At 54.2% G+C, this 24,619-nt stretch overlaps 2 protein-coding genes across 9 annotated transcripts, besides 2 other annotated features; both read right to left on the reverse strand.

Moving 5' to 3' along the window:
- Window positions 1-387: 387 nt before the first annotated feature.
- Window positions 388-6,964, reverse strand: SLC22A17 (solute carrier family 22 member 17). Of its 4 annotated transcripts, none has more exons than NM_016609.7 (10): window positions 6,723-6,964; window positions 6,025-6,528; window positions 5,829-5,932; window positions 3,349-3,503; window positions 2,583-2,748; window positions 2,238-2,383; window positions 1,968-2,073; window positions 1,591-1,808; window positions 1,178-1,289; window positions 395-1,013 (listed from the first exon to the last, which is right to left on the reverse strand). In NM_016609.7, exons 1-10 carry the CDS (start codon window positions 6,816-6,818, stop codon window positions 725-727), a joined length of 1,896 nt encoding a protein of 631 aa, NP_057693.4. In that variant the 5' UTR covers window positions 6,819-6,964; the 3' UTR covers window positions 395-724. The 4 variants fall into 4 exon arrangements, 3 of the variants coding, with proteins under 3 accessions (NP_001275979.1, NP_057693.4, NP_065105.3); NM_020372.4 differs by having other exon boundaries at window positions 1,537-1,808; NM_001289050.1 differs by lacking the exon at window positions 6,723-6,964 and having other exon boundaries at window positions 388-1,013; window positions 2,583-2,623.
- Window positions 6,965-10,482: 3,518 nt separating this feature from the next.
- EFS (embryonal Fyn-associated substrate) lies at window positions 10,483-19,249 on the reverse strand. 5 transcript variants are annotated; one of them, NM_001277174.2, is made up of 6 exons: window positions 19,085-19,249; window positions 14,218-14,358; window positions 14,000-14,116; window positions 13,394-13,771; window positions 12,953-13,042; window positions 10,483-11,737 (listed from the first exon to the last, which is right to left on the reverse strand). In NM_001277174.2, exons 1-6 carry the CDS (start codon window positions 19,100-19,102, stop codon window positions 11,303-11,305), a joined length of 1,179 nt encoding a protein of 392 aa, NP_001264103.1. In that variant the 5' UTR covers window positions 19,103-19,249; the 3' UTR covers window positions 10,483-11,302. The 5 variants fall into 5 exon arrangements, with proteins under 5 accessions (NP_001264103.1, NP_005855.1, NP_115835.1 ...); NM_005864.4 differs by adding an exon at window positions 14,632-14,910 and having other exon boundaries at window positions 13,394-14,116; NM_032459.3 differs by having other exon boundaries at window positions 13,394-14,116.
- Window positions 17,346-17,846: an enhancer, noted in NCBI's record as "H3K4me1 hESC enhancer chr14:23832478-23832978 (GRCh37/hg19 assembly coordinates)". NCBI's record gives its function as "activates a minimal SCP1, AML or CMV promoter by ChIP-STARR-seq in naive H9 embryonic stem cells {active_cell/tissue: H9 hESC(naive)}" and the evidence as "EXISTENCE:reporter gene assay evidence [ECO:0000049][PMID:30033119]".
- Window positions 17,847-18,347: an enhancer, noted in NCBI's record as "H3K4me1 hESC enhancer chr14:23832979-23833479 (GRCh37/hg19 assembly coordinates)". NCBI's record gives its function as "activates a minimal SCP1, AML or CMV promoter by ChIP-STARR-seq in naive H9 embryonic stem cells {active_cell/tissue: H9 hESC(naive)}" and the evidence as "EXISTENCE:reporter gene assay evidence [ECO:0000049][PMID:30033119]".
- Window positions 19,250-24,619: the final 5,370 nt, after the last annotated feature.

Genomic DNA, 24,619 nt, shown 5'->3' on the forward strand with positions numbered 1-24,619 from the left:
CGAGTTCTGCTTCTCCTTCATTCTGTGAGCTCCCACCACAACCTGCCCCACCAAATCGAATAATTCCCTTTTTGCTTAAGTTCATTAGAGCCAGTTTTTATTGCTTACAACAACAAACAACAACAACAACAACAACAACAACCCCTAATTGATCCAAACACCTACCTTGCAATGCTGTAAAAATTAAATGATACGAAGTGTGTCAAGTGCTTAGGCCAGTTCTGGCAGCAGTGCAAGCAGTCAGTAAGTGGTGACAGTTGTCTGTAAGTCACCACTGGGGGCAGGGCACAAGGAGGGAGAGGGGAGCTTGTTATCGGTGTGCATTCCACTGAGAAAAACCTTCCCCCAAGAGATAGAAGGACAAACAGAAGGGAGGGAAGTCCAGGCTATGATATGCTCGTTTATTCCAAATGTCTTTATTGAAACAGAATGATAGAGCAAGAAATAATGAGGTCTGGGTGGATGTCTTTGGGCGCAGGATGGAGCCCAGACCCAGTGGTTACAGTGTGGAGCTCTCTCCCTGTCCCCTGACTCTGGCCAAGGAAGTGAATGCAAAGCAGCAGGGAGGAGGCAGGGTGGGGACGGCCCTCTGAGCTCTCCGCGATGGCTGGCGTGAGGTGCCTCTGAGACTTCTGGGCAGCCCTGCCTTCCCTACTCAGTCTTCCCGATCTTCTTGCCACCTTTCTGTGTGGGCCAGCCTCCCGCCAGGGTACTCAGAGGCCGCTCAGAGGGCAGGGTTGGGGGTGGCAAGCAGCGGGACGTGGTCACAGCGGGTAGGGGGTGGCTGCCGCAGCAGGGAAGGCCGGCGACACAGCTCCCCGTCCCGGAGCACCTCGGGCAGGAGCTTGCGCTTGGTCTCCGGCAGCAGCATAATGCTGAGAATGCAGAGGAGGGCGCAGGCCGCCAGCACCACGTGCTGCAGGAAGGCTCCATGGCCCATGTGGAGGCGCTGGGCCGGGCCGCTCAGTCCTCCAAGCGCCCCTAGAGCCATGATCAGGCCCAGGCCACGGCCCCTGGGGGGAGACAGAGGAGGAGCTCAGCCCACAGCTGTAGCCTTGCTGGGCCCTTCTCCCGCAGCCCCCCTCCTCCAGCCCGCAGGCCCTGTCCTCAGGGGTGGGGTGGGGGAGCGGGAGGCGAGGGGGCCCGGCTCTGCCCCTGGGGGCACCCCTGCTCTCACCGGACAGTGGTGGGGATGACCTCAGCAGCAAGGAGGGTGCTGAGGATGGCGGCAGCTTGGGAGGAGAAGAGCCCAAGGACAGAGAAAGTGGTGATGGCAGCCTCGTTCAGATCTGCAGAAGCAAGAGGGATGATATGAATGCAGGTGGGGAGGTCAAGGCTGGCCTAGTCCCGGGTGTCATCCCCTTGGCTCTCTGTTCCCATGGCTCTAGCTGGGCAGGCTCTGGGCATTCAGTAATTGACTGGGAGAGCAGATGGGGCTGTGGGGCCAGGTGGAGGCTCGTGGAAGAGCTGGGCAGGGTCTGGGGCTTGTCTTGGGAGGCCTGTGCCAGAAGAAATGGCTGTGCCTGTCTGAAGCACCTCTGTTGGGGTTCCCTTGTTGAGCCCACACTGTGGGGAAGATAGGATGCTCACAATCCCACAGGCCCAGCAGGACCAGGGAAGCAATGCCGGTAAGGGTCATGGAGAGAAGAAGGATGCCCCGGCGGCCAAATCGGTCCACGGTGACCCCCAGGAAGACACAGGCCAGGGCTGCGGTGCCGCTGGCCAGCAGAGAGCACAGGTAGAAGTCCGATGGGCTCCCTCCTCCTCCCACAGGCTGGTAGCAGTGGCGAATGGCATGGGCAATGAAGCTGTGAGAAGGGGTGGGGAAGCAACGAACAGAGCCTGAATCCCCTCCCGCAGCCTTCTACAGTGCTGATGGTCCTCCGCAGGGGTCCCCGGGCCTTCCCACCCAGCCAGCCCCCATTCCAGCTACTGGCCTGGCCCTCAGCCCAGACACCCAGGCTCACTTGGTGAAGCCCAGGATAAGCAGATTTTTCCAGATGTTGCGGTAGTTGAGGAGGGAAGCAAAGGAAAAGGAGGATGTTGCAGGGAGAGGGCAGGTATTCTCCAGGTCTTTGGGAGAGAGAGAGGAGCTGTCAGAAGAAAACCCTGAGATCCCAGGATCCTCCCACATGGGTGGTGGGGACCCTGGGAGAAGGTGGCACAGCTACAGCCATGCAGAGGGCACCATCATGTGTGCAAGTGAGGCAACACTCACAGGGATCCCTGTCTCTTACCCTGCAGGGCCTCCTGGGCCTCCTCCCCCAGCATCTGCCCATGGGGCCGGTTTCGCTCAGCCAGGATCCTCAGCACAGACTGAGCCTCCTCAATCTGCCGCTTCACTATCAGCCACCGTGCGGACTCCAGGAACAAACCAGGCCAGCTGGGGGCAGGGGGGAAGGGGTATACTGTGAGGCCTCCCTTCTCCTGATCTAGGGGTGGGAAATGTGCACCTCTGAGGGACTGGGGCTGGGGTAGGCCTGGACCAGGGGTAGTTGGAGAAGAGGAGGGGTCTCCGGGCTAGGGCTAGTTTGGAGGCAGAGATGGGAATTGCCAGACGACAGGTGAAGGGTAATACTGACCCATAAAACAGGAAGAGGATGCAGGGAGCGGTGATCATTCGCTGTAGGAATCGCCAATCCTTAGAGACAAGGGCCAGGCCCAGGAACAGGAAGTGCCCTCCCACCCCCACCAACTCCCCTGCCAGGGCCACCCGAAGCCTCTGGGTTGGGTCGCACAGCTCCAGGCCTGGAGATACAGCAGGGGTGGAGAGAGGAGAGGGAGGCCAGGGAGGAAGAAGGCATAAGAGAGAAGAAGAAAGAGGGAGGGAGGAGGACAGAGAGAGAGGTCAGACCCAGAGTGGAGGCTGCAGCCATTGCCTCCCTTGCTAACCTCTGGGTGGCAAGGACTGGGGAGACTGTTCAGCCCTCTCTCCTCTCCTGCTCAAACCTAGGAGGGCTCTAGGGCCAGAGTCCTGGGTGAGTGTTCAACATTTCCAATTTATAGGCCCTTTCCCATCAGGCCTCTTATTTGACCTTCACATCAACCCTTGTCCAAGGTCACACAGCTAGGGACAATCCTTGTCCCTGGACTTACTGCTATCAGGGGAATAGCACCTTATTCCTTGGCAGCAGTAAGTCCAGGACAAAGACTTTAAAGATTGTCGGGAGGGGGAGATAGGTGTAGAGAGAAGCAAGAGCCCTGGATTCTTCAAGGGGGCCTGGGCAGAAAGATAGCTGAGATTCTAGGCAGCTGAAATGTGGCCTAGGGGGCAGTGAGGATGGCCTGGCGATGCAGGCAGGTAGGCATGAGACCCAAGGGAGGGAATTCTGGGAGGGTGCCACTTACGCATCAGGTAGACACCCAGGTCAACACCGGCAAGCAGAAAGCCCAAGAGGAATCGGAGGGCCATGACGCCTGTGGAGGAGCCTGCAGCAGCCCCTCCTACTCCACAGGGGCCCACCAGCCCCAAGGTCAGCAGCACAATCCCGCGACGGCCAAATCTAGAAAGTGGGAAGGGCTTCTGGTCACCCAGACTCTCTGGTGGTGGGAAAGTTGCTGGGTAAGACCCAGCTGCACACTTCAGAGCTAGAGGTATGAGAATGAAGTTCTGGGAGCAAGAGTTGGACAGAGGCTTGAGAAGATGGGGAGGGATGGGGACCATGGGTGGGTGATGCCTGGCTACTGGGCACTGGGGTGTGGTTGTGGTTCTTTAAGAGGTGGGAACATTGACTCTTGGGCTATTGGTCAGAGATTAGGGCACTTGTCAATGGATGTGACATCACTCAACAGAGGGGATGGGATATTGCTTAGGGGATTTGGGACCATTCATCCTTAGGAACAGAGCTAATGGTCAGTGGGCCTGGAGCTTATCTTGCTCAGACTGTTCAGAGGAGATGTGGGAGGGGGGTTCATTGATATACGGAGTTGGAACTATTAACCTGTGGAGGGGAGGCCATTGGCCACTTGTGCATGAGGATACTACTGGTCAGTGAAGGTAAAGCCAATGATATTAGGGGACTGAGTAATTGATTTTTGGAGATGAGGCCATTGTTCCATGGAGGTGGGACATTGGTCTATTAATACATTAAGAATGGTCAGGCTGGGCGCAGTGGCTCACACCTGTAATCCCAGCACTTTGGGAGGCCGAGGCTGGCAGATCACGAGGTCAGGAGTTCAAGACCAGCCTGACAAATATGGTGAAACCCCATCCTTACTAAAAATACAAAAATTAGCCAGGTGTGGTGGCAGGTGCCTGTAGTCTCAGCTACTCGGGAGGCTGAGGCAGGAGAATCGCTTGAACCTGGGAGGCAGAGGTTGCAGTGAGCTGAGATTATGCCACTGCACTCCAGCCTGGGCAACAGAGCGAGACTCCATCTCAAAAAGAAAGAAAAAAGAAAAAAAAGAAAGAAAAAAGAAAGATCAGTGGGGACATAGACATGGGTGTATTAATCCATAAGGTAGGACTATTGATCAGTGGGATGAATCTATTAATCCATGGGAATAATCAGTAAGGATAAGGTCACAGACCAGGGGAGATGAGACTATTGGTAAGTGATTATGGTCACTAACTATGAGTTAGTGAAGACATGGTTACTGATTCTTGGAGGCTGGGCTATTGATCTTTGGGGATAAGACCATTGATCTATGGAGATGAAGATAGGGAGCCTCTGGTCATTGCAAAAGGGGCACCAATCCCTGGGAGTTAGGCTATTGATCTAATGGGGTGGGGCATTTTTCCATGAGGATGGGCTTATTGGTTAATGTGCTGAAGGCTACAGATTTTAGAAGACCAAATTATTGATCTTTGGGGATGAAACCATGGTTCCATAGGAATGAGGCTACTGGTCTGTGGCAATGAGGCCACTGATGCATAGGGATGGGCTATTGACCTGTGGGTTTCGGATCATTGGCCCACAGAGGTGTGTGACTATTGGGCAGTGAGGATGGGTATTGATTTTAAGGAACTGGACTATTGAATGTTGGGATGGCTTTGATCCACAGAAGTTGAGTTATTAATCCACTTGGATGGAACTGTGGATCAATGGGGCTGAGTCTAATCGGAAGTTTAGTGCAGTGAGAGCATCTGGTCAGTGGTGAAGGTGACCAGAATCAGAGATGAGATTTTTGATCTGTGGGAAGAGTTATTGGTTGCTGGGATTGGGTTGTTGATCTCTAGAGGTGAAGCTACCGACTCATGGAAACGGGGATTTCGGTGAGAGGATCTCAAAGCCCTGAGGATCCATGAGGGTATGACTGCTAATCTATGGGCTATTCCCCTACAGAGCGTTGGGTCATTTGGTGGCAGGCATGGGACTGTGGGTTACTGGGTCTGAGGATATTGTCTTTGGAGATAGTTAGTTGACTTGTAGGGGAGGGGTCGCTGGTCAGAAATGGGGTAATTTGTTTGTGAAGTTGAACTATTGATCAGTGGGAATGGAGCTGTTGGTGTTTAGGAATTAACATATTGATCTTCAGGAATGAGGTCACTGAGATGGAGCGAACAGTCCATGTGGGCTGTTAGTGGGGATGAGACTATTCTCTTTGGAGATGAGGCCATTGATTCACGGATAGGGGGCCACTAATTAGTGGGAATGGGACTAATAGTCCATAGAGGTCGAGTCATTCCCTTGCGCGGAAGAGGTAGGGAAGGGGTATTTCTTGATGGAGAGTGAAGTTGAGACATGGATAGACCATTGAATAGAAGTCCAGAGAAGACTGCAGAGTCCAGCGAATCGTCTTCGACCTCCTGTAAACGCCCGCTGCTTGGGTTAGCTTCCCTAGCACCCCCTCCTTTCTACCAGCCCTGCCCCCACGACAGCCCTCACCTGTCTGCGGGGTAACCCAGGAACAGGTAGCCGGAGGCAAAGCCCAAGATGAAGAGGATCTGCTCCAGGATCACCTGCCAGCCCAGGTCACACACCAGATCCCACTGGGGATGTGAGAAGGGTGCAGCGGGCGTGAGGCCCCGCCCTCGCCGCTCTCTGCCCGCCCCCAGACCCGCGGCCCGCCTGGCCGCCTCACCTGGCCGATGGCGTTGGTGGTGAGCACAGGAAGGCCATTATAGTCCCAATCCTTGAGGCAATGGTTGAAGTCCGGCGGGGCGAAGCCGCTGCACGAGGGGTCGGTACTGGTGGCGACACGGCTGGCGGCGCTGGCTGCTAGGGCAGCGCTGGCGACGCTGACGCCGCTGGCATTGGGAGGCTGCTCCCAGCCAGAGGCATTAGGGGGGAAGGCCCCGTAGTGGCAATGCAGCGGGGGCGCCAGCGTGAAGATGGGGTCCGAGGCCATGCCCAGAGCCACGAAGAGCACCGGCAGGCAGCAGAGGCCGAGCTGCAGCTGCTGGCCGCCGCCCAGCGCCCCCACCTGGGCGAGCAGCGCCTCAAAGCTGAGGGGGCCTGGGGGCACGGCCAGCGACAGGCTGCTGCCCAGTCCGTCGCCGCCCGCGTCTCCCTCCCCCTCCCGCTCGCGCTCCCGCTCACCCTGCAGCTGCTCCGTGGGCACCGCATCTCCGAGGGTCCCGACCTGCTGTTGGGGGGCAGGGGGTGGCAGGAGAAGGGTGAAGCGGAGGAAACCGCAGAGCAAGGGCAGGGGGCAGGTGGGAGGGAGGGCTAGGAAGGCAGTCAGGGGCGAGGGATGCGCAGGAGGAAAATGCCAGACGCTCCGCGGGGGCGGGGGTGCTGGGAGAGGATGGCGTCGCCACCTGGGGCTCGGGCACTTACTCCGTTGGAGGTGGGGGTGATCTCTACAGTGTTGTCGATTTTGCCGCCGCCCCCGCCATTGGGCTCGGGGGTCCCGGTGGCCACCCGGGGAGCCAGCTTGCCGACCGCAGGGGCCCTGCCGGCCCGCGCCGAAAGGATGCGCTGTCCTCTGGCTCAGTTGCGCGCCGGCTGCCCGGACACAGACAGCTCGAAGAGATCCCGCTCTGCAGCTCTGCAGCCGCGGGCGCCTCCTTGGTCTCTGCGATCTCTGCGCTGCTTTCCCCTCCCCTTCCTCTAGACTCTCCTCCCCTTCCCACGTCAGCAGAACCTTCGGTCCAGACTCTTCGTCAGAGAGAGGAAGGGGGGCCAGGGCCCAGGGGAGGGAGGGAAGGGGGGCTCTGTCGTCTCTTTCCTGGGTCTGCGGGCCATTGCGGTAAAAAAGAAAAAAAGCTGAAGGATAGTAGCTAGTCCAGGCAGATGCCAGAGATTCTTCCTCTGCTTCCAATCATTTGCCATCATTCATTCATTCATTCATTCACCCATTCACTAATCAGTAAAATTTAAGTGTCCACTACGTTCCAGGACTTGCACTAGACTTTAAGGATAACAGGGTGGACAAGTTCCACTTTGGAGACCTTTACTCCAGGGAGACAGACATGTAAACTGGCTATTACAGTACAACTTATGCATATGGAAGACTGTCTTGGCCCTGTATCAGCCCTAGCTTCAGTCCTCTACAAGGAGACCACTTTCTTGGGTTTCATCACTCCCATCCTGTTTGAATCTCCATTTCTCAACAGCATTTGGCACTGTTGACCCCTCTTCCTCTAAACACTCTCTTCCTTTGCTGCTGAGTCTCTCTTGCTCCCCTTTTCTCCATTGCAGAAATCGTCTTCCAGCTCATGGCATTGGTGCTGAGCATGGGCAGGCCATTATCCTCCCGGTTCTTGAGGCAATGATTGAAGTCCAGCGGGGTGACGCAACTGCAGGAGGGGTCTGTATTGGTAGTGATGAGGCTGTGGTGCTGGCTTCTAGGGCCATTCCCGTCTGTATCATTTAGACACCATGGTTCAGTGTCTGGAATCCTCACAGACTTAGTCCTAGGCCCTCCTCTCATCTCACACTGTCTCCACTTTGGGATCTTACCTATGCCCACAGCTTCAATCACCACCCATACAAACAATACAAACCTGACGCCCAGACTGACATCTCCAGCTTCCACCTCTGTTCTGAGCTCCAGACCTATGAAGCCACCTCTTATTTGACCTTCACCTTGGATGACTCACAGGGACCTCAAACTCAATATGTTCAAGACGAAATTTTTGCTTTTCCCCCATAACTTGGTTGGCTTCCACTGCTTTTTTCTGCAGCGAATGGCACCCTCAACATCGCATTGTGGCCAAATGCTCAGGCAACAGCCTTTAGAGCTTTCTCTTCCTTATCCATGTTGAATTCTTTACAAAATTCTGCCCATTTTACTTCCTATATATTCTCAGACATCCCACATCTCTCCATCTCTACCATTATTAGTCAAGCTACCTGTTGCAAAGACCACTTTAGCTCCCTAATTCCTAACTGGTGTTCAGCGTCCGCTTTGTTTATACCTCCTTATCACCCATATGTCATTTATAGTCAGATAGAATGATCTTTTCAAAATACAGATCTGATCATGTATCTTTCCTGCTAACCAGCCTTCAGTGGTGTCTCCTCACTGTCAAAGTGAATATTAAAAATCTAGATACCTCATACATGGTTCTACATGCCTGGTCACATGCTGTCTGTAGTTCCATCTCACTTCTTTCCCCAAACTCTCTGCACTCCAGCCACAGACCTTCTTCTAGTTTTCCCAGCGCCACGAGGCCTTTGAACAAGCTGGTTCCTGCACCTAAAAAGCTTCTTAGTCACATTTTTCTCATCCTTCAGCTCTCAGCCTAAACATCTTTGCTACACAGGAGTCTTCCCTAACCTCTAGAATTGCTACTCAAAGTGTGGTTCATGGACCAGCAGCATTCCTGGGAGCTTGTTAGAAATGCAGAATCCAAGCCTCACCCAGACCCTTGAATCATAATCTGTATTTTATCCAGATCTCCAGGCATAGGTATTATACATTAAAGGTAGAGACACACATCTCTAAGAGATTTGTTACCTGATAGGTACTTTATTCTCTAATCCTAGGTAAGGGCTAGAAAGCAGTGTTCTATCATTGTCAGCCGGGAAATCTTTCCCCCTTCTCTCCACTGAACCACACTTTTAACTTGTCTCTGTTCAGAAATTTTCCACGTATGGGAAACTCTTTTCTTCAGACAGGGTCTCACTGTCTTACCCAGGATGGAGTGCAGTGGCTTGATCACAGCTCACTGCAGTCTCCACCTCCCCAGCTCAAGCAATCCTCCTACCTCAGCCTCCTGAATAGCTGGGACTACATGCATGTGCCACCACACTTGGCTAATTTTTTGATGTTTTGTTGAGACAGGGTCTCACTGTGTGGCCCAGGCTGGCCTCATACTCCTGAGTTCAAGCCGTACTCCGGCCTCAGCCTCCCGAAGTGCTGGGATTACAGGTGCGAGTCACTGCATCCCTCCGAAACATTTCTTTGCTAATGCATCAAGCAGCCTCCTACCACTTCCCCTCTCCCAACTCATTTCAGCATCTCTTCAGGTTTTACTATGGTGCTGTATAGCCAATATTCCTTGGGGATTTATCGTCTGCATCCTTGTGTCTGTCCTGGAATAATAATCACTTAATTTATACATTGTGGGGCTGTTCACATGCATTTTCTTGTTAGGTCCTCACAATAACCCTGTAAGACCATTATGATCATGCTAATATTGAAGATGAAACCAGGACTTCAGAGGGACTGGCATGATTTACCCATGGATGCACAACTACATGGCAGATCAGAGACTTGAATTGAAACCTCTAATTCCAGGCTAATCTCTTGAAATTCTGTTTGGAAGATGATGGACGATAGACTTCAACACATGGGGGTGAATTTTGTTGGCCCCAGAATCTGACAGTGCATTTTTCTTTGAGAGTGAGATGAGAAAGGAACCTAAAGGGGAGGAGGCAAATGTGCAGGGGTGCCAACAGACTATGATTATGCCCCCAATCCAGTCATCATGCCATGGTAATATCTTGGGAAAGCAGAACTGAAGCAATTGATTTGTAGCTTGGATGTTTTCCCTTGTGGTAAATGGCTAGCGTGATCTATCTAAGCCACGGTCTTATCAATTTCACCAAAGTCCTGAAGACTGACCTTTCAACACATTGCATTCATCTGCAACCGCGGATCCTCCAGAAAATGGTTTGTCCAGAAGGATGATGAGCAGGTCATCCTGAGATGATCTACCTGGGAAGCCAAGTGAAAAGGCCTATACCCTCTTGGTGTCACCTAAGGAAGAGGGTGCCTAGACTGGCCAGCAGCAGTCTCCAGTTGGCCAGGGCTATCCTGTGGTGCAAAGCTGAGGCTGGGCCTTTAGTTGGGGTGGCCTCTCCAGGATGGCACATTTCAAGGCCCTTATGTGGTCAGCTTCTCTCCACATTGACACCTCTCTAATGACATCATATGACAATGAAGTCTTGGAGGAAGGCCCTCAGGTCAGTCATCGGCATCTGCCTTCTGGGAACACTAGTCCTCAGACTCTCCTCCTCTGGGTTTCAGTTCAGATCTCACCTCCCAACCATCCTGTCTAAAGTCTCCTTCACTGCCCTCTCCCCTCATCTAGTTAGTTTCTTCAAATCATCCTGCCGACGTCCATCACCAGCAAATGTCGAATCTATGGCAGGTTTATGTTTTTATTTATGTATTTTAACTGACTTATTTGTGTATCCCACTAGAACAATACATTCACAATATACTTGCAGAACTGTGCCTGGCGCGTCATGGGAGCAGAGAACTTGTCCAGTGAATAGTTGTTGAAGAAAGGAGTAAAATCTCCCCCAAACCCTAAAGGCATCCTTTTCGTAGTGTGTGTCCCATAGGTATGGCTGCTGAGCACCAGGGCTGCTCACCATGCTCCCAAGAAGCAGAGTCAGGGAGGCAGACAGCAGGGTTTATTAAGGTGCACACCCATGTCTGAGCCCCAGCTCTCTCCGCCTTCTGTGGGGAGAAGCCCTCCGGTCTTTCCGAGAACCTTCAAACTCTGGACAGTTTATGTCTTGCCCGCACTCTCAGCTAACAGTGCAGTGCTGATCTTCTAGAGCCAAGAAACAGGAAAAGAGAGAGGCTCTATGTGGCCCCAGGTTTCTGCCACCTGACTTTTCACAGCCAGTCTTCCAGAGGTGGGTGGTAGTGCAGTGACCTCCACCCTAGGCTGAGGAGAGAAGGATCTAGTTCCTCACTGCCCCAGAGCCTAGTACCTGCTCCTGACAAAGCAGGGAATAATATTAAATATAAATAATTTACACAAAATGGCTTGTACAAAAAGCTGTAGGTTAGGGGGAGAAGACACCTCTGTGAGAGGTTGAGATGAGCAGAAAGGGCAGGAAAGGGGAAAGATACCCCCATTTCTCCTAGTCCCTTAACAAAGCCTTCCAGCCACCCAAGGCCTAAAGGGGGGCTTTGGCAGGCAGGGGAGGAGCAGAGCTGTGCCAAAGGACCTTCATGGAGCCAGGCTAGTGAGCAGGGTAGTGAATTGCAGGGCCTGCCCTGCCAGTTCTGTTACACACTGCACCATCTCTTGGATGGCAGGGCTGGATGGGTAGCCCAGGGCAGCTCCCTTGACAGCCAGCACAGTGGCCCGCAATGCCTGGCCCAGTGCTGTACCTGCAGCCCTGACCTGTGCTCTCAGAGGGGCAGAGGCTGCCAGCCGGCCCAGGGTGTCCCCAACAAACACCAGGCGATGAGCAGCCACCACCACCCTCTTGCTGTGGGGCACGAAAAGGCGCGGGGGCTGATTAGCCTGGGTACTGGACATCAGGGCTGCCACGGCTGCCTGCAGGGCTGAGTAGTGGCTCTGGCATTGCCCAGCATAGAAGTACAGGAGCTGCAGATCTCCGGTGGACACAACCAGTGGCTCCCCTGGGGACAGGGCCTCCTGAAGGGCAAGAGGAGTGGTCAGAGAGAACATTCTCATGAGTGCCATTTCCTCCCTCACTTCTTTTCTCCTTCCTCTCTTTCTTCCCAAGGGCGATCCTTTTAGCTCTTACCTCTGCCCATCGGAAAGTTTAGATTCTAGAGAGAGCAGCAGTGAAGTGCCCACACTTGATATCAGATAGATCTGGATTCAAACAACCTCAAACTTGATTTCGGACAAGGCTTTGAACTTGGTTTCCTTAACTCTAAAACAGGGAGTCTAGGACTGCACTGTCCAATATAAACATAATGTGAACCACATGTGAAATTTTAGATGTGTTAGTAGCCACATTAAAAGTGGTTAAAAAAAAAACAAAACCCTAATATATTTTATCTAACTCCAAATATAAAAATGTTATAATTTCAACATATAATCAACATGAAAATTATTGAGATTTTTCCCATACTGAGTCTGTAAAATCCAGGCTGCATTTTATATTTGCAGCATATTTCAATTTGAACTAGGCCTATCTTGAGTGCTCAATAGCCATATGTAGCTAGTGGCTACTGTACTAGATAGTGCAGTTCTAGTATGTACCTCATGAGGCTGCAGTGAAGGTCAATTGAGATAATATACAGAAAGGGCTTAGCAAAGTGCATTTCACACTGTGAGCACCAGATGAGTGTTAACTGTGGCTGTGATTAATACTAACACGTGCAGTGTGCCTAGCACAGGGTCTGGCACTTGGTAAATACCTGATAAATGGTAGCTATTGTGTTGCGACCATTCTACGCAGGGTTGAGGAAACCACCTCACTTTCTGAGGCCTGGAGAGATTAACTGACGGCTTCAAAGCCCCTGGCTTCTCAGTAGTGAAGCTGGGATTAGAAGCCAGGTCTCTTAGGAGCCCAGGAATTCACAGTTGGAAGGAGGCTCAGAAGTCCCCAGGCCCAGCTCTGACCCCACAACTCAGAAACTTTCTGCTCTCCTGGCTGCTTGATTTTCTGACTCCTCTCCAACACATTCTTTCCCCTCTTTCTGAATTCCTAACATCCTCTTCCAAGGTCCAGTTCCTTCCTGTAGATTTCTAACTTGCCTCCGCTCTGTCCCTGGTTCCTGTGAACTCTCACTCCATCCTAACCTATTTCCTTCCACGGTTGATGGCTCAGTTCTTCTCCCAAGTCCCCATTCCTCCCTCCCCTGTCCCCTTCTCTAGCACCATTCCCGCCAGGGTCACCTGCGGCGCCGGCATCCCCCTCTCGGGCAGTTCAGGATCCCCTGTGCAGGCCTGATCCGGGGGCCTAGATCCCTGAGCTTTGTCCATGCCCTGCAGGAGGGGATCAGGTCTCAGTGTCGGGGTGGGGGAGCAGGACGGGGTGGCCTCTGTGGCCTTTCTGCCCCTTCCCCGGACCCCCTTCCTTCCGAAGGACACTCCTGTTATCAGAGGTTGTAGTCCCTTGACTCCAGAGAGCTCTGGTGGCCCCAGGCTGGGTCTAGGAGGAACAGTGTGGCACTGGTACAAGTGTTGTGGCCAAGTACTGGGGTCCCAGGCTGCAGGGTAGAGGGAAGGGGGACAGAAGGGAGGCAGGGAGGCTCTGCCTCTGTGCCCTAGGTCTCCACACCCCTCCCCTTGGTCCCTCTGGGGTCCCTCCTGGTGGGGCTGCCAAGGGGCGCTCACCTTCAGGTGGACATAGTCATACTCCTCGGCCATCGGAATGCCCTCGTACTCATTGTGGTGTCCTGCTGGGTCATCCTCCATCTCCCTGCCCTCTGGATCCCCCTCGACCTTGGGGCCTCCATAACCAGGCAGGCGGGGTGGGGGTGGGGGCAGAGGCCGGTCCTGGATGCTGCCCTTCCGGCCTGGGGCAGGAGAGGGCACTGGGGAGGGGCTGGGGGCCTCAGGGACAGGCAGGGCAGGCAGAGGGCGGCGGGACAGGCTCTCAGCTGAGGGGAGCCGGGGCCTGTGTGGGGGTGGGGGGCTTCTGGCCAGAAGCTGGGCCAGGGTGTCCTGGTCATGGGAGGCCAAGGCTCCAGGGGGCTCTGGAGAAGGGGGAGCCTCTGGCCCCAGCAGAGGCACATCGTAGATCCCCTCATCAGTGCCCCCGCCCTCCCCGTCTGCCAGCAGTTCCTCGGGTGCTTCATACAAATTGAGTAAGGCTGACGCTCGTTTCAGGTTGGAGGGGGCAGCATAGATGGGGGGCCCCGGCTCCCGGCCTCCTTCCCACTCCAGATCTGGTTCCAGCTCTGCAGGTGGCTTTGGGGTCAGAGGCACATCATAGGGAGCATCATCCTCTCCAGGGGGCTGCGGGGCAACCCGGGTCAGAGGGTGGGAAAAGGAGGCAGGGCAGTCATAGGGGCCACTGGAGGGCACCCGGAGGGCGGTGGGGGGCACATCGTAGACCTGCGGAAAGGAGTGGTCAGTCATCTGTCAGCTCAGCGATGAACCCTCCCTTGGGGCCATTTGTCTCCCACCCAACATACACAGGGACCTCTAGCCCTCACCTCCAAGGCATCTCTGGGAGCAGCCAGCTGGGTCCCACTAGCTCTGGGGATTTTGTAGATGAGGTCAGGAGAGGGTGGGCAAGGTCCAGCTGGAGGTCCTGAGGTTGGACAGGGCCGAGCTGGGGGCGGCACCACATACACCTGAGGGATCAAATAGATGGGGGGTCAGGAGGAACGGAGGGGCCGGTGATCAGATAATGTCTGAGTGCGAGGAGCTTAGAGACCTTCTAACTCTCCCTGTATCGAGAGGGCCACAGCTCAGAAAGGTTGGTAGACAGGTTTCGTCCAGCGCAGAGCAGTGAAGAGCTGTGGCCTCAGGGCTCTTCCTGCCCACCTGCTGCAGGCCCTGGGTGGGGCTAGTTGGGGAGGAATGGGGCTCTTCTGGCTTGGGGTTGGGGAGGCTCCCACTCTCACCTCCTGGTCCTCATTGCTGTGATCTGGGGCTGGATATGGTGAGCCAGGCTGGGCTGGGGACGCAGGAGAGAGGCTGGGCTTGGGTGCTGGGCCAGCAGGCAAGAGCTTCACCCTGTTGGCGGGCACAATGCCCTGCTGGCCGTGTAGGGAGCAGAGGCACCAGCCGTCCAGTCCACCAGCGCCCTCTCTCTGCAGGACCCGTAGGACATCCCCTCGGCGGAAGGACAGCTCCTGGGGGGACTCAGCGGTGTTGTCATACAGTGCCCGGGCCAGCTGGGTCTGGTTGGGGAGGTGGGAGTGGGGAGAAGGGTCTTCAGACCCCTTTCAGGTCACGTCACCCCTGCTTAGAACCCTTCGGAGCTCCGCATTTCCCTCAAGCTAAAAAACCTGAACTCTGGATGCAGCTTTCTGCCTGGGCCCTAGCTTCTCTCCAGCTTCACCGCTTGCATTCTCCCTCTTCCTTTCAGTTCCTTCAACTAGACCAGCTCTCCTCAGAGAGGCCGATTCTTTACTCTTCTCCCCGCCCCATTCTCTGTTTGTCTCCACCTATTGTTTCCATCCTCGTACTTTATACTATTTGTCTATTTGCTTCTTTTGTATCGATTTCTTCCCTTATACTGTAAACCCTATGAACATAGGAACGGCTATATTTCTAGTCCTTGCAATAAGGCCTGACCTGGAATTGGTCATTACACATGTTGAATGAATGTCTTCCAAAACATGTGAAGCCCTGCTACAGTCTCTCATAGACCTTCTCTCTGTTCCCAAGTCATTATCCCTCACTAGCAAAAGGTTAGATTAAGCAGCCACAGAGACCTCTCATTCTGAGAGACTGGGAGAGGCCTAGTCCAGACAGTGTGCCTAGGCATAATAAGAAAGAAAACAGAAACAAAGCAATTGTTTTGCTCTCAGTCTGAGCAAATAAGTTTCTACCAGAAGAGGCTGAGGTTACCATGGAGAAAAGTGTGTATTCTTGTGTGTGTGTCACCACTGCCTGGGATCCTTCCAGCAGGCATCATCATTTAGCAATGGGCCCTTCCATTGCAGGACAGAGTGTGTCTTTGTGTGTGTGTGTGAAGGGGGTTGGCAGGCCAACCAAAAGGAAACATGTATCATTCTGTTTCCAGTCCTGTCTGGTGGGGGCTTATAAGCTTTTTCCATCAAGGGCCACAGGCTCAGGTAATAACTCACAGGTACCAAGTGCAAACAACGTTTCCAGACACTGTGCAAATCTTTGCATTAATCAACTCATCTCATTTAATTCTCACAACAACCTTACGAGGGAGGGACTGTCATTACCCCATTTTGGAAAGAAAACTGGAAGAGGGAGGTTAGTACTTTGTCTGATGCCATATCGCTGGCACAGCTTGTGGAGCATAATCTGAACCCTAAGCTGCTTGATCCCAGAGCCTGCGCTCTCAATCACTTGTGCTACTGCTTCTCCACAATTACAAATGTAGGAATCTACTTAAAAGAAAGAGTAGTAACAGTGGCTGAGAGGGTCCCTAACTCAAAAGCAAGTCAAGCGCATAGGAAAGCCTTCTTATACCCTATTTCCCTTTGCTATAACCCTTCGCAGTGCTCTTGCTCCATGATGTCATTTGGTAGAATCAAGCTAAAACCACTCAAAACATACAATTACATTCAGCTTCAGTTTTGATTGCTAAATGATGATGCTTGCTGGTAGGATCCCAGGCAGTGGTGACTTACATGTAGTGTTGGAGAGCAGCTAGTTAGGCATTACTAGCCAGGTAGCCAAACGGACTGACTAATTCAGCAAAAAAATCTCAAAGTTAAAGATCTCAGGCAGGCTGCCACCAGACCCTGGGGAGAAGGATGCCCTGCTAGAGTCAGCAGGAGTGCATATTCCTCTTAGCTGATGTTTCCCTCTGGTGGTGAGGTTATCCGGCCTCTCATGGCTGGGTGATTTTAACAACAAATTGACCCCTCTTCTTGCCTGATTCCCAACTCATCAAACCATTTTCTGATTATATTTTGGTTTCTAAAGGATATTGTCCCACACAAAGAAACGTGCTAACCAGATGACACAAATTCCCGGTTAGTGCTGCACTTTTCTTTTTAGTTGTAAATTATAAATCAGTCTTTTGGATCTAGCCAGGGGATTAAAAGCACAGTTCTAGAGGCAGACCTGGGCTTGAGTCTTGGCTGTGTCTCTTTCTTTTAAAATTTTATTTAAAATATTTCTTTAGAGATCAGCTCTTGATCTGTGGTCCAGACTGGAGTGCAGTGGCACAATCATAACTCACTGTAACCTCGAATGCCTGGGTTCAGCCTCCTAAATACCTGGGATTACCGTTGCGACCCACTGCTTGGAGGTCTGTCCCTTTCTTTTTCTTTCTTTCTTTTTTTTTTTTTTGAGACGGAGTTTTGCTCTGTCGCCCAGGCTGGAGTGCAGTGGTGCGATCTCGGCTCACTGCAAGCTCCGCCTCCCGGGTTCACGCCATTCTCCTGCCTCAGCCTCCCGAGTAGCTGGGACTACAGGCGCCCACCACCACGCCCGGCTAATTTTTTGTATTTTTAGTAGAGGCGGGGTTTCACTGTGTTAGCCAGGATGGTTTTGATCTCCTGACCTCATGATCCGCCCGCCTCTGCCTCCCAAAGTGCTGGGATTACAGGTGTGAGCCACTGCGCCCAGCCAGGTCTGTCCCTTTCTAGCCAGGTTCCTTTGGGCAGATTGTTTAACCTTTCTGAGTCTCAATTTCCTTCTCTGTAGAATTCCATATGCGCATATCCATTTTCAGATAATAACAATACTACCTTCACAGGGTAGTTGTGAGAGTTGCATGAGATAACGCATAAAGAAACTATGACAAAGCGCAGCACAGGGCCAGGTGCAGTAAATGCTCAATAAATAATAGCTGTTATTAGAATCCTGTGAGTTTGATTAGCATAAATGCCCCTGACCCCAAAAAGAAAAATCTACATTCTTGGGACTACAAAGCTGACCAGCTGGCTTCTGAACCAGTATCTCTATGCCAGAGTACTCCCAGAGGTACTCTATCTCCAGAGGGCCTCCTTCCCCACTCTGAGCTAGGGTTTCCTGGCCATCGTTACAGATTGAGGAACTAAAAGGAATTTGGGGCCAGGTGCGGTGGCTCATGCCTGTAATCTCAGCACTTTGGGAGGCTGAGGCGGATGGATTGTTTGAGCCCAGGAGTTTGAGACCAGCCTGGGCAACATGGCGAAACCCTGCCTCTACAAAAAATACAAAAAGCTGATGTGGTGGTGCGTGCTTGTAGTCCCAGCTACTCAAGAGGCTGAGGTAGGTGGATCACCTGAGCCCAGGAGGTCGAGGCTGCATTGAGCCGTGATTGTGCCACTGCACTCCAGCCTGGGTGACAGGGTGAGACCTTGTCTCAAAAAAAAAAAAAAAATGGAGTTTGGTCTGAGAAAGAACCAAACTTGAACCTGTCCTCAAAGGGTATGGGAGGACATTGGGTGGCTCTGTGCTTCTCTTTCCAGTCTCTCTCCGAGAGTCCCCACTGAGAAGGGAACAGAAAGCAGGTGACGGCCTCGCTTCCCTGGGAATCTTAGGCAGGACCTAGAAGAGGGTGGAAAGGGAACAAAGCTGCCTGGATTCAGACTGCATAGACTGTAGAACAGAAAGCAGAGGTGGGGCTGTAGAGCGCTCCTCCCGGTGTTAGGACTGAGTTCTGTCCAATGGAGCCAAGCCTCTGGGCCCTGCCATTGCAGGACAGAGTTGTTGATGGACTGATTGATGATGGGTGTGACCACTCCTGCTCTATCCCCCAGCAGCCCAGCTGACTGGTGAGGGAATGGCCAGCCTAATGTAGGTGGCAGAGAGCCTCTGTGCTCTCTGGGAGGCCTCCTCCCACTGTCCCATCATGCCAGCTGTCTCCTCCCTTTGTCCCGATCCCTGGAAAGTGGCCTGAGGCTCTGGCTGACATCACCTCCCCTCCTCCCTCTGTCTTCTCTTTCTTGATCTCCCTCCTTTGCTCTATCTCCCTTTTTTCCTTATCCCTCGTCTCGAGATGGGCCTCCTGGGGTCGTTCAGCCTCTCGTTTTCCGTTTTCCGTGAGCCACTAGGTCCTTTCAGCCCCCTCCAAACCTTTTACTTGCCTCCCAACCACAAGCCTCTGCCAACCACCAGTGGCCATCTGTTCCCGCCCAAAAGGAGCAGATAGGACTCGGGCTACGCTTGCCCCTTCCCCTCCATTCAGGCGCAGCCTCTAGGAAGAAAAAGGAGAATGGGGAGGGGGCGGGGAAGAGGGGCGAGCCCGGAGCCAGGAGGAGCAGGGGATGAGGAGTGAGAGGGAGAAGGGAAACAAAAGTGAGAGGAGGGGGACACAGCCTCCTGGAGAAGAAAGGGACCAAGGAGAGAGACAAAGAGAGGGCAGAAATAAAGTGACAGGAGCGCAGGGCAGGCCGTGGAGGTCTCTCCCCGGCAGCCTCCACTCCCTGGTGGACTCACCGACGTGGCAATGGCCATGGCTTTGGCCTCCCGCGCAGCCTGCCTCAGGCCAGGCTCGGTTTTGCTGACTTCAGCGGTGGCTGCCCCGCACCATGGTCCGCGGCCTCTAGCCCCCAGCTGTGGCGCCTGAGTCGTGGCCTCCGCCAAGGTTGGAGGAGGAGAAAGAAAACCCACAAAACTTCCCAAATGAGAGGCAGGCTAGCCAGGCAGGAGGAGGAGCGGGGCGGGCCGGGGCGTCGCTGCGGGACGGCATCCAAGGGCGCGCGCTGCGTGCTGTCCCCGCGGCCTCCCGGGCGCCACCGGCTCGGCCAGGCCCCGGGAGCTGCCCGCCCTAGGCCGCGGGGGCGCCCCGGGCTCGCAGGATCCGAAAATTCCCTTCCCGGGCCGGGGCGGGTGAGCAGGCGGGCGCTGGGCTGCGCTCGACGCCTCTCCAGGCCGCTCAGGAGAGCCTCGAGGGCTGGGAGAAGCCGCCGGGGCGGTTGGGCTGGACGAGCGAGTTTAGGGGCCAACCGTCTCCACCCGCCGGCCGCGCTGCAGAGCGGTGCTCCCAGGGCTGGGGTCTGCGGCGACCCCGCTGGGAGGAAGGGAGAGCGAGAACTGAGACGCTTGCCCCAAGTTGCCTGGAGCCAAAGGCCCCCGAGAGCGTGGCCGTGGGGCTGGGTCGCTGGAGTGGCCGCTTCGGCCCAGACACTCGCACCCCCGGCGGTGCGGCGGTTTTCACGCGCGCACTCACTCAGCGCGCCCGGGGGTCTGAGGTCGCCGCTACGGCGCCTCGCCCCGGGCAGCAGCAACCAGCACGCAGGCACCCCTGGAACAGGCGGGACTGCCTTCCCGACGCGCGGCCTGCGCCCAGGCGGCGGAGGGGCCCAGCCCCCTTCCAGTCCTCGGCTCCAGGGCGCAGGGCCACGAGCTCCCGCTCCCACCCTCGGCCCCTGGCACCCGGCGCCGGCTCCGCCGCCCTCTCTCACACGCACCCTTGGCAGGGCCCCGCGGGGCGCCCCAAAGCTTGGGGGCAGCTCCCAGGTGTCTCTGGGAAGGGAAAGAAAGGCCACAAAGCAAAAGAAGGAGCAAAGAGAAGGCGAGGGAGGAGCAGGGGCCCGGGTCCTGTGGACTCGCCTGGGCTGGGAGTGGGGACACTGAGAGGGCTGCGAAGGCTCCGGGGGTCGCGCGTGGCCCGCAGGCTCACCCCTGGCCCGCGGCTGCCCTTCCCTCCCCTTCCTGGGCTCCTGGCCCCTCTCAGTGCTGTTCCTTTCTCCTCCCCTCAGGCCCTCTCCTCTCCCGCGCAGGGCTCCGTCCTGGGGATTAAGAGAAAGGAGGGAGGGGAAAGGGGAGGGGAAGGGAAGGGGCGGAGGAGAAAGAGGGACGATCCTTCCAAAGGCGGGTGTTGAGTTTCAGCTCAGGACCCTCGGGTCCAACTGCCTGTGGTACCCCCCACACCCCCCACCCCCGTCCCGCCCTGGCCCTGCCCCAGTCCCCGGCGCCTTCCTCCTCCGGACTCCGCTGCATGCCTCGCTTGCGGTGGTCCGATCGGCTTTCTCCGGGAGCTTTCCTCTCCCCGCCACGCCCCCGTCTCCCCGGCCGTCCCCGCGCCTCTCGGCCTCCCTTTCATTAGCCCCACATCTGTCTTTCCCATGGGAGGGAGCGCGCGCCTTCCGCCCAGCGGGGCCCTTAGCAGAGCCTCTCCAATCCTCGGCGCCTCCCCTACACAGGGTTCGCTGGGCCGTTCTTGCGGGGCACAGGAGGGGAGTCTGGCGCTGGACATGGATTCTGGCCCTAGTGACAACATGAAGCAGGGCGTCTGGCCCCAGAACTGCAGGCGGGCAGGTTGTGCGGCCTCTTACACTCCTCTGCCAGTCTGGGCCTGTCGGCCTCCTCAGCCTGGCTCACTCTTGCTGCTATGAGGAGAGGATTGGGCAGGACCGCTGGCACAAAAGTTGCTAGAACTCTTCCAGAGGAGATGGGATCTAGCCCCACCAGGAGTTTCCACTGAAAGGATGGTGCTCCTAGCCCCCTACAGCTCCTCTGCCCTGGGATAACTCCTTAGTGTGTGCTGCTTCCCTGGACCTTCCCTCTGGGACACACACATCAGGGCCTCTCAGGCTTGAGTGAAGCCTGCCTTCTTCCATTTTTGAGGTTCCTGGTATTTAAAAAGCAAGATGACAAACAGGATTGAAAGCTGTGGTATATTTTGGATGTTTACATTGAACAAATTAACGCTTCAAACACATACAATAGAGAATGACTCTGTGCATAACCTTATTTGGAGACAAGATCAGAAATGTAATATAAGGCCCTTGGTGAACTTGAGGCCCTGGACAGATAACCTTGCCTCAATATTCCACAGGCCCACACATCTAGGCATTTCCTAGGAGAGTGTGGTCAGGACACCTGCCCCAGCTCCTTCCCCACTGTATTACCTGGGCACCTGTGAAGAAACCTCTGCTGGAAGGGTGTGGTGGAGCCTATGGGGTGGAATAGGGAGAGATTCTGGGATAAACATGGGGATGGGGATAAACTGTGTTGGCTCTAGGCTGGCTCTCCATGATGGAAGACTCCTGAATAGATTCCAACTCCACTGGGATGGTAGAGGAACTTTTAAATTTCCAGGGAGAGCTCCTGCTTCCCAGCTCCAGTTAGGTTAGAGGTGGCCACTAGGGAAGATTTTCCAACCTCTTCCAGACCCCAGCCCTGGGGGACCTGGCTGCCAGGCACACGGATATCCAGCTGCTGGCGAGTGACTTGGTGTGATCTCTGCCCAGGAGACTGCCAAGGCAAATTGGGGTCCAAGGTGGAGGTGGGCAGGAAACCCTGTCTTCAAAGATGAATGCTTTGACTGGCACGAGGGGAAATAGATGGAGGCCAGAAAAGGCTAAGGAGGAAGGAAACTGCTAGGACCAGGCAAGGGTTGGCTTGGGAGATGGGCAGGCAGTTTCCCTGCCCGGGGAAGGGTAGAAGAGGGACAGCAGAGGACAGACCAGTGGGAAATAAGGCTGCTTCTGGAATATCCAGGTGTGGAATGGAGCCAGTCAGAGTCACAAGTGAATCCTGCTTAACTAGCTGTGTGACCTTTGTCCAGTTATAGGGCATCCGAGTCTCAGGTCCTCCTCTGTGGCAGTGACTTTGGTGAGGAGTAAGCTTATGTAGATTGCCAGGCACAGTGCTCTTCTTCCATGGCTTTTCCTCTTTACCTTGGCTTCCCCTCTGACTTGTGCTTTCCAGAAAGCTGAATGTGTTCGTTGTTGAGGGCAGGTGAGGTTGGAGAAAACCCAGGCTTGGCAGGTAGCTGAGACCCTGGGTGGGTGGCAGCCTCAAGCAGTGGGTCTTCAAGGTTTGCCCTTGCCATATTCAGGGAGAAGAAGGGAAGGAACCCCTCCATTTGGCTTCCCGGGTCCCAGTCTTTTCTCCCATTCTTTCCCCTTCCCTGCAGGTCCAATGAGCTGGTTTTTTCCTCACCTGACCCCAAGACTTCCTGGACCTCTCCTTGTTTCTCCTGCTACCCAAAACTTCTTGGGTGCTCACCAATTCTTCAGTTCTCCTCTCTTTGGACCCATAGCACCTAGATTGCCTGGGTTCTAATCCTGGTTCTAACACTGGCTAGTTACCTTGGCCAAGTTCTGTGACTTCCTGGAGCCTCTGGTTCCTTGTCTGTAGAGTGGGAATGTTAATTGAACTTTTAGCATTTACTTGTTATGAGGATTAAGGGAATCCCAAGAACAGTATCAGGCCCATGAGGTGTAAATTTTGGACAAAGGCAACTACTATTATTGTTATTTGGTGATGGCCTTGTGGTGGCACTAGAATGTCAAGGACATGGTGCCTGCCCTCAAGAAACATATCATGTAGCTCATGCTTGAATCCAGTCAATATCTTCCGGCTGACTCTGGAATAAAATCCAAATGCTCCATGGTAGCCTGGAGGACCCTATGTGATCTCCTCCCTGCCCACCTCTTTCACCTCATCTTGTCTCCCTCTCCTCCTTATCTCTTGTTCAACATCTACACTGTCCTTTCTGTTTCTCAAATATGCCATGCTCTTTTCCACCTCTAGGACTCTGCATGTCCTGCCCCCTCTGCCTAAACTACTTCCCCCAGACCCTTTCTGTCATCAGGTGAAATCCTGCATCCTCAGAAAGGCCTTTCCTGGCTTTCCAACTTAAAGTTGCCCTGCCTTCCTCTCCCCCACCCCCAGTAACTCCCTATCTCATAATGCTGTTTCATTTTCTTCATAGCACTTATTATTATCAGAAATTATCTTGTTTCCTTGTTTATAATCTGTCTCCCCCTAAAACGTAAGCTTCATGAGGCAGGGACCTTGTCTGGCTTGTCCTCCCCTGCATTTCTAGCTGTTAGAATAGTGCTTGGAACACAGTAGGTGCACAGTAAATATTTGGTGAGTGGATAAGTGAACGAAGGCAGCCATGACTATAGGACAAAGCCGAGTAAGCTGAGGGGCCTCCTGGGGAAGGCTACAGCCCTGGACTAAAGACATGGGTTTGTTGGGTTCTTGGTTCTGCTAACTCTGATTCTCCATGTGTCTCCCAGGGTCTAGACTGGGTTCTCCTTGAAGGCTGCTCCTGAGCCTAGGCGTTTTTGTAGCTAAACCATTATCATCTACCAATCAGAAAGTGGTAGCACTGTTCTGGGGGCCTCCATCTGTGCCAGGTGTTCAACCTTTAGTTGCTGGATCATAGGGAAGTATGGTAAGGTGGTGTCCCAAGGCTGAAGGAAGCATCTACTTACCAGCAGGAGCAGAAGTATTTCAACATTTTGATGTTCGGTGCCTTAGCTTCATGTACAGTGAGTGCCGATGAGCTTCAGTAGACCCTGCTGAGTCCTGTGGATTCAGCACTATTTCAGGAGCTGAGGTCTGGAGCAGCTAAGCTGGTTGGCACCTTTGTGACCATCCAGGTCAATGTTCCCCCCAATCCCCGCCCACCCAAACCCACCCACTTCTACAATTGAAGAGGGAGGAGCAGAGAGAGGGCTCAAGATCCAGAGCTGGTCATTGGCAGGGCCAAGACTTCAAGGCAGCAGGTGGAGACTTGCATATCTTCCTGAGAAGGGGCGGGGAAGACATATTCTCACTTTCTGTAAGCCCCAAGAGCCTTTCCAAGCCAAGATTGGGAAGTGTATTCCACCACATCTTCCCTGCCCTTTCCTAGCAGGTGCTTCTCTCTTTCCTCAGGGCCACAGGGACAGGAATCCCAGGAAGCTCTCTTCAACTGCCAGGTCAGGCCTAGGCAGGTGAAGACGTGCTGGGAGGGGACCTTGATGTCATGTGCCATGCAGACTTTCCTTTGTTCCTGCCTCCAGCCTTCTCCCCATTGCCACCCCCCTATCCTCACACCCCCAAGGGTTCCCTGGAAGCTGAAGTGACTCAGGGATTCCAAAACTAGTCACCTCAGGAGGAAACCCCACTGGAAAATGTTTCTCATGACAGGGAGTCACCCTAAGGAGTCCCACAAAGCTGCTACTGAGATAAGGACAGAGGGTGAGCAAGTGGGGTGGGGTGGGGGCATGTGGCTCAGAGCACAGG

Source organism: Homo sapiens, chromosome 14, assembly GCF_000001405.40.
Source record: "Homo sapiens chromosome 14, GRCh38.p14 Primary Assembly".
Taxonomy (NCBI): Eukaryota; Metazoa; Chordata; class Mammalia; order Primates; family Hominidae; genus Homo; species Homo sapiens.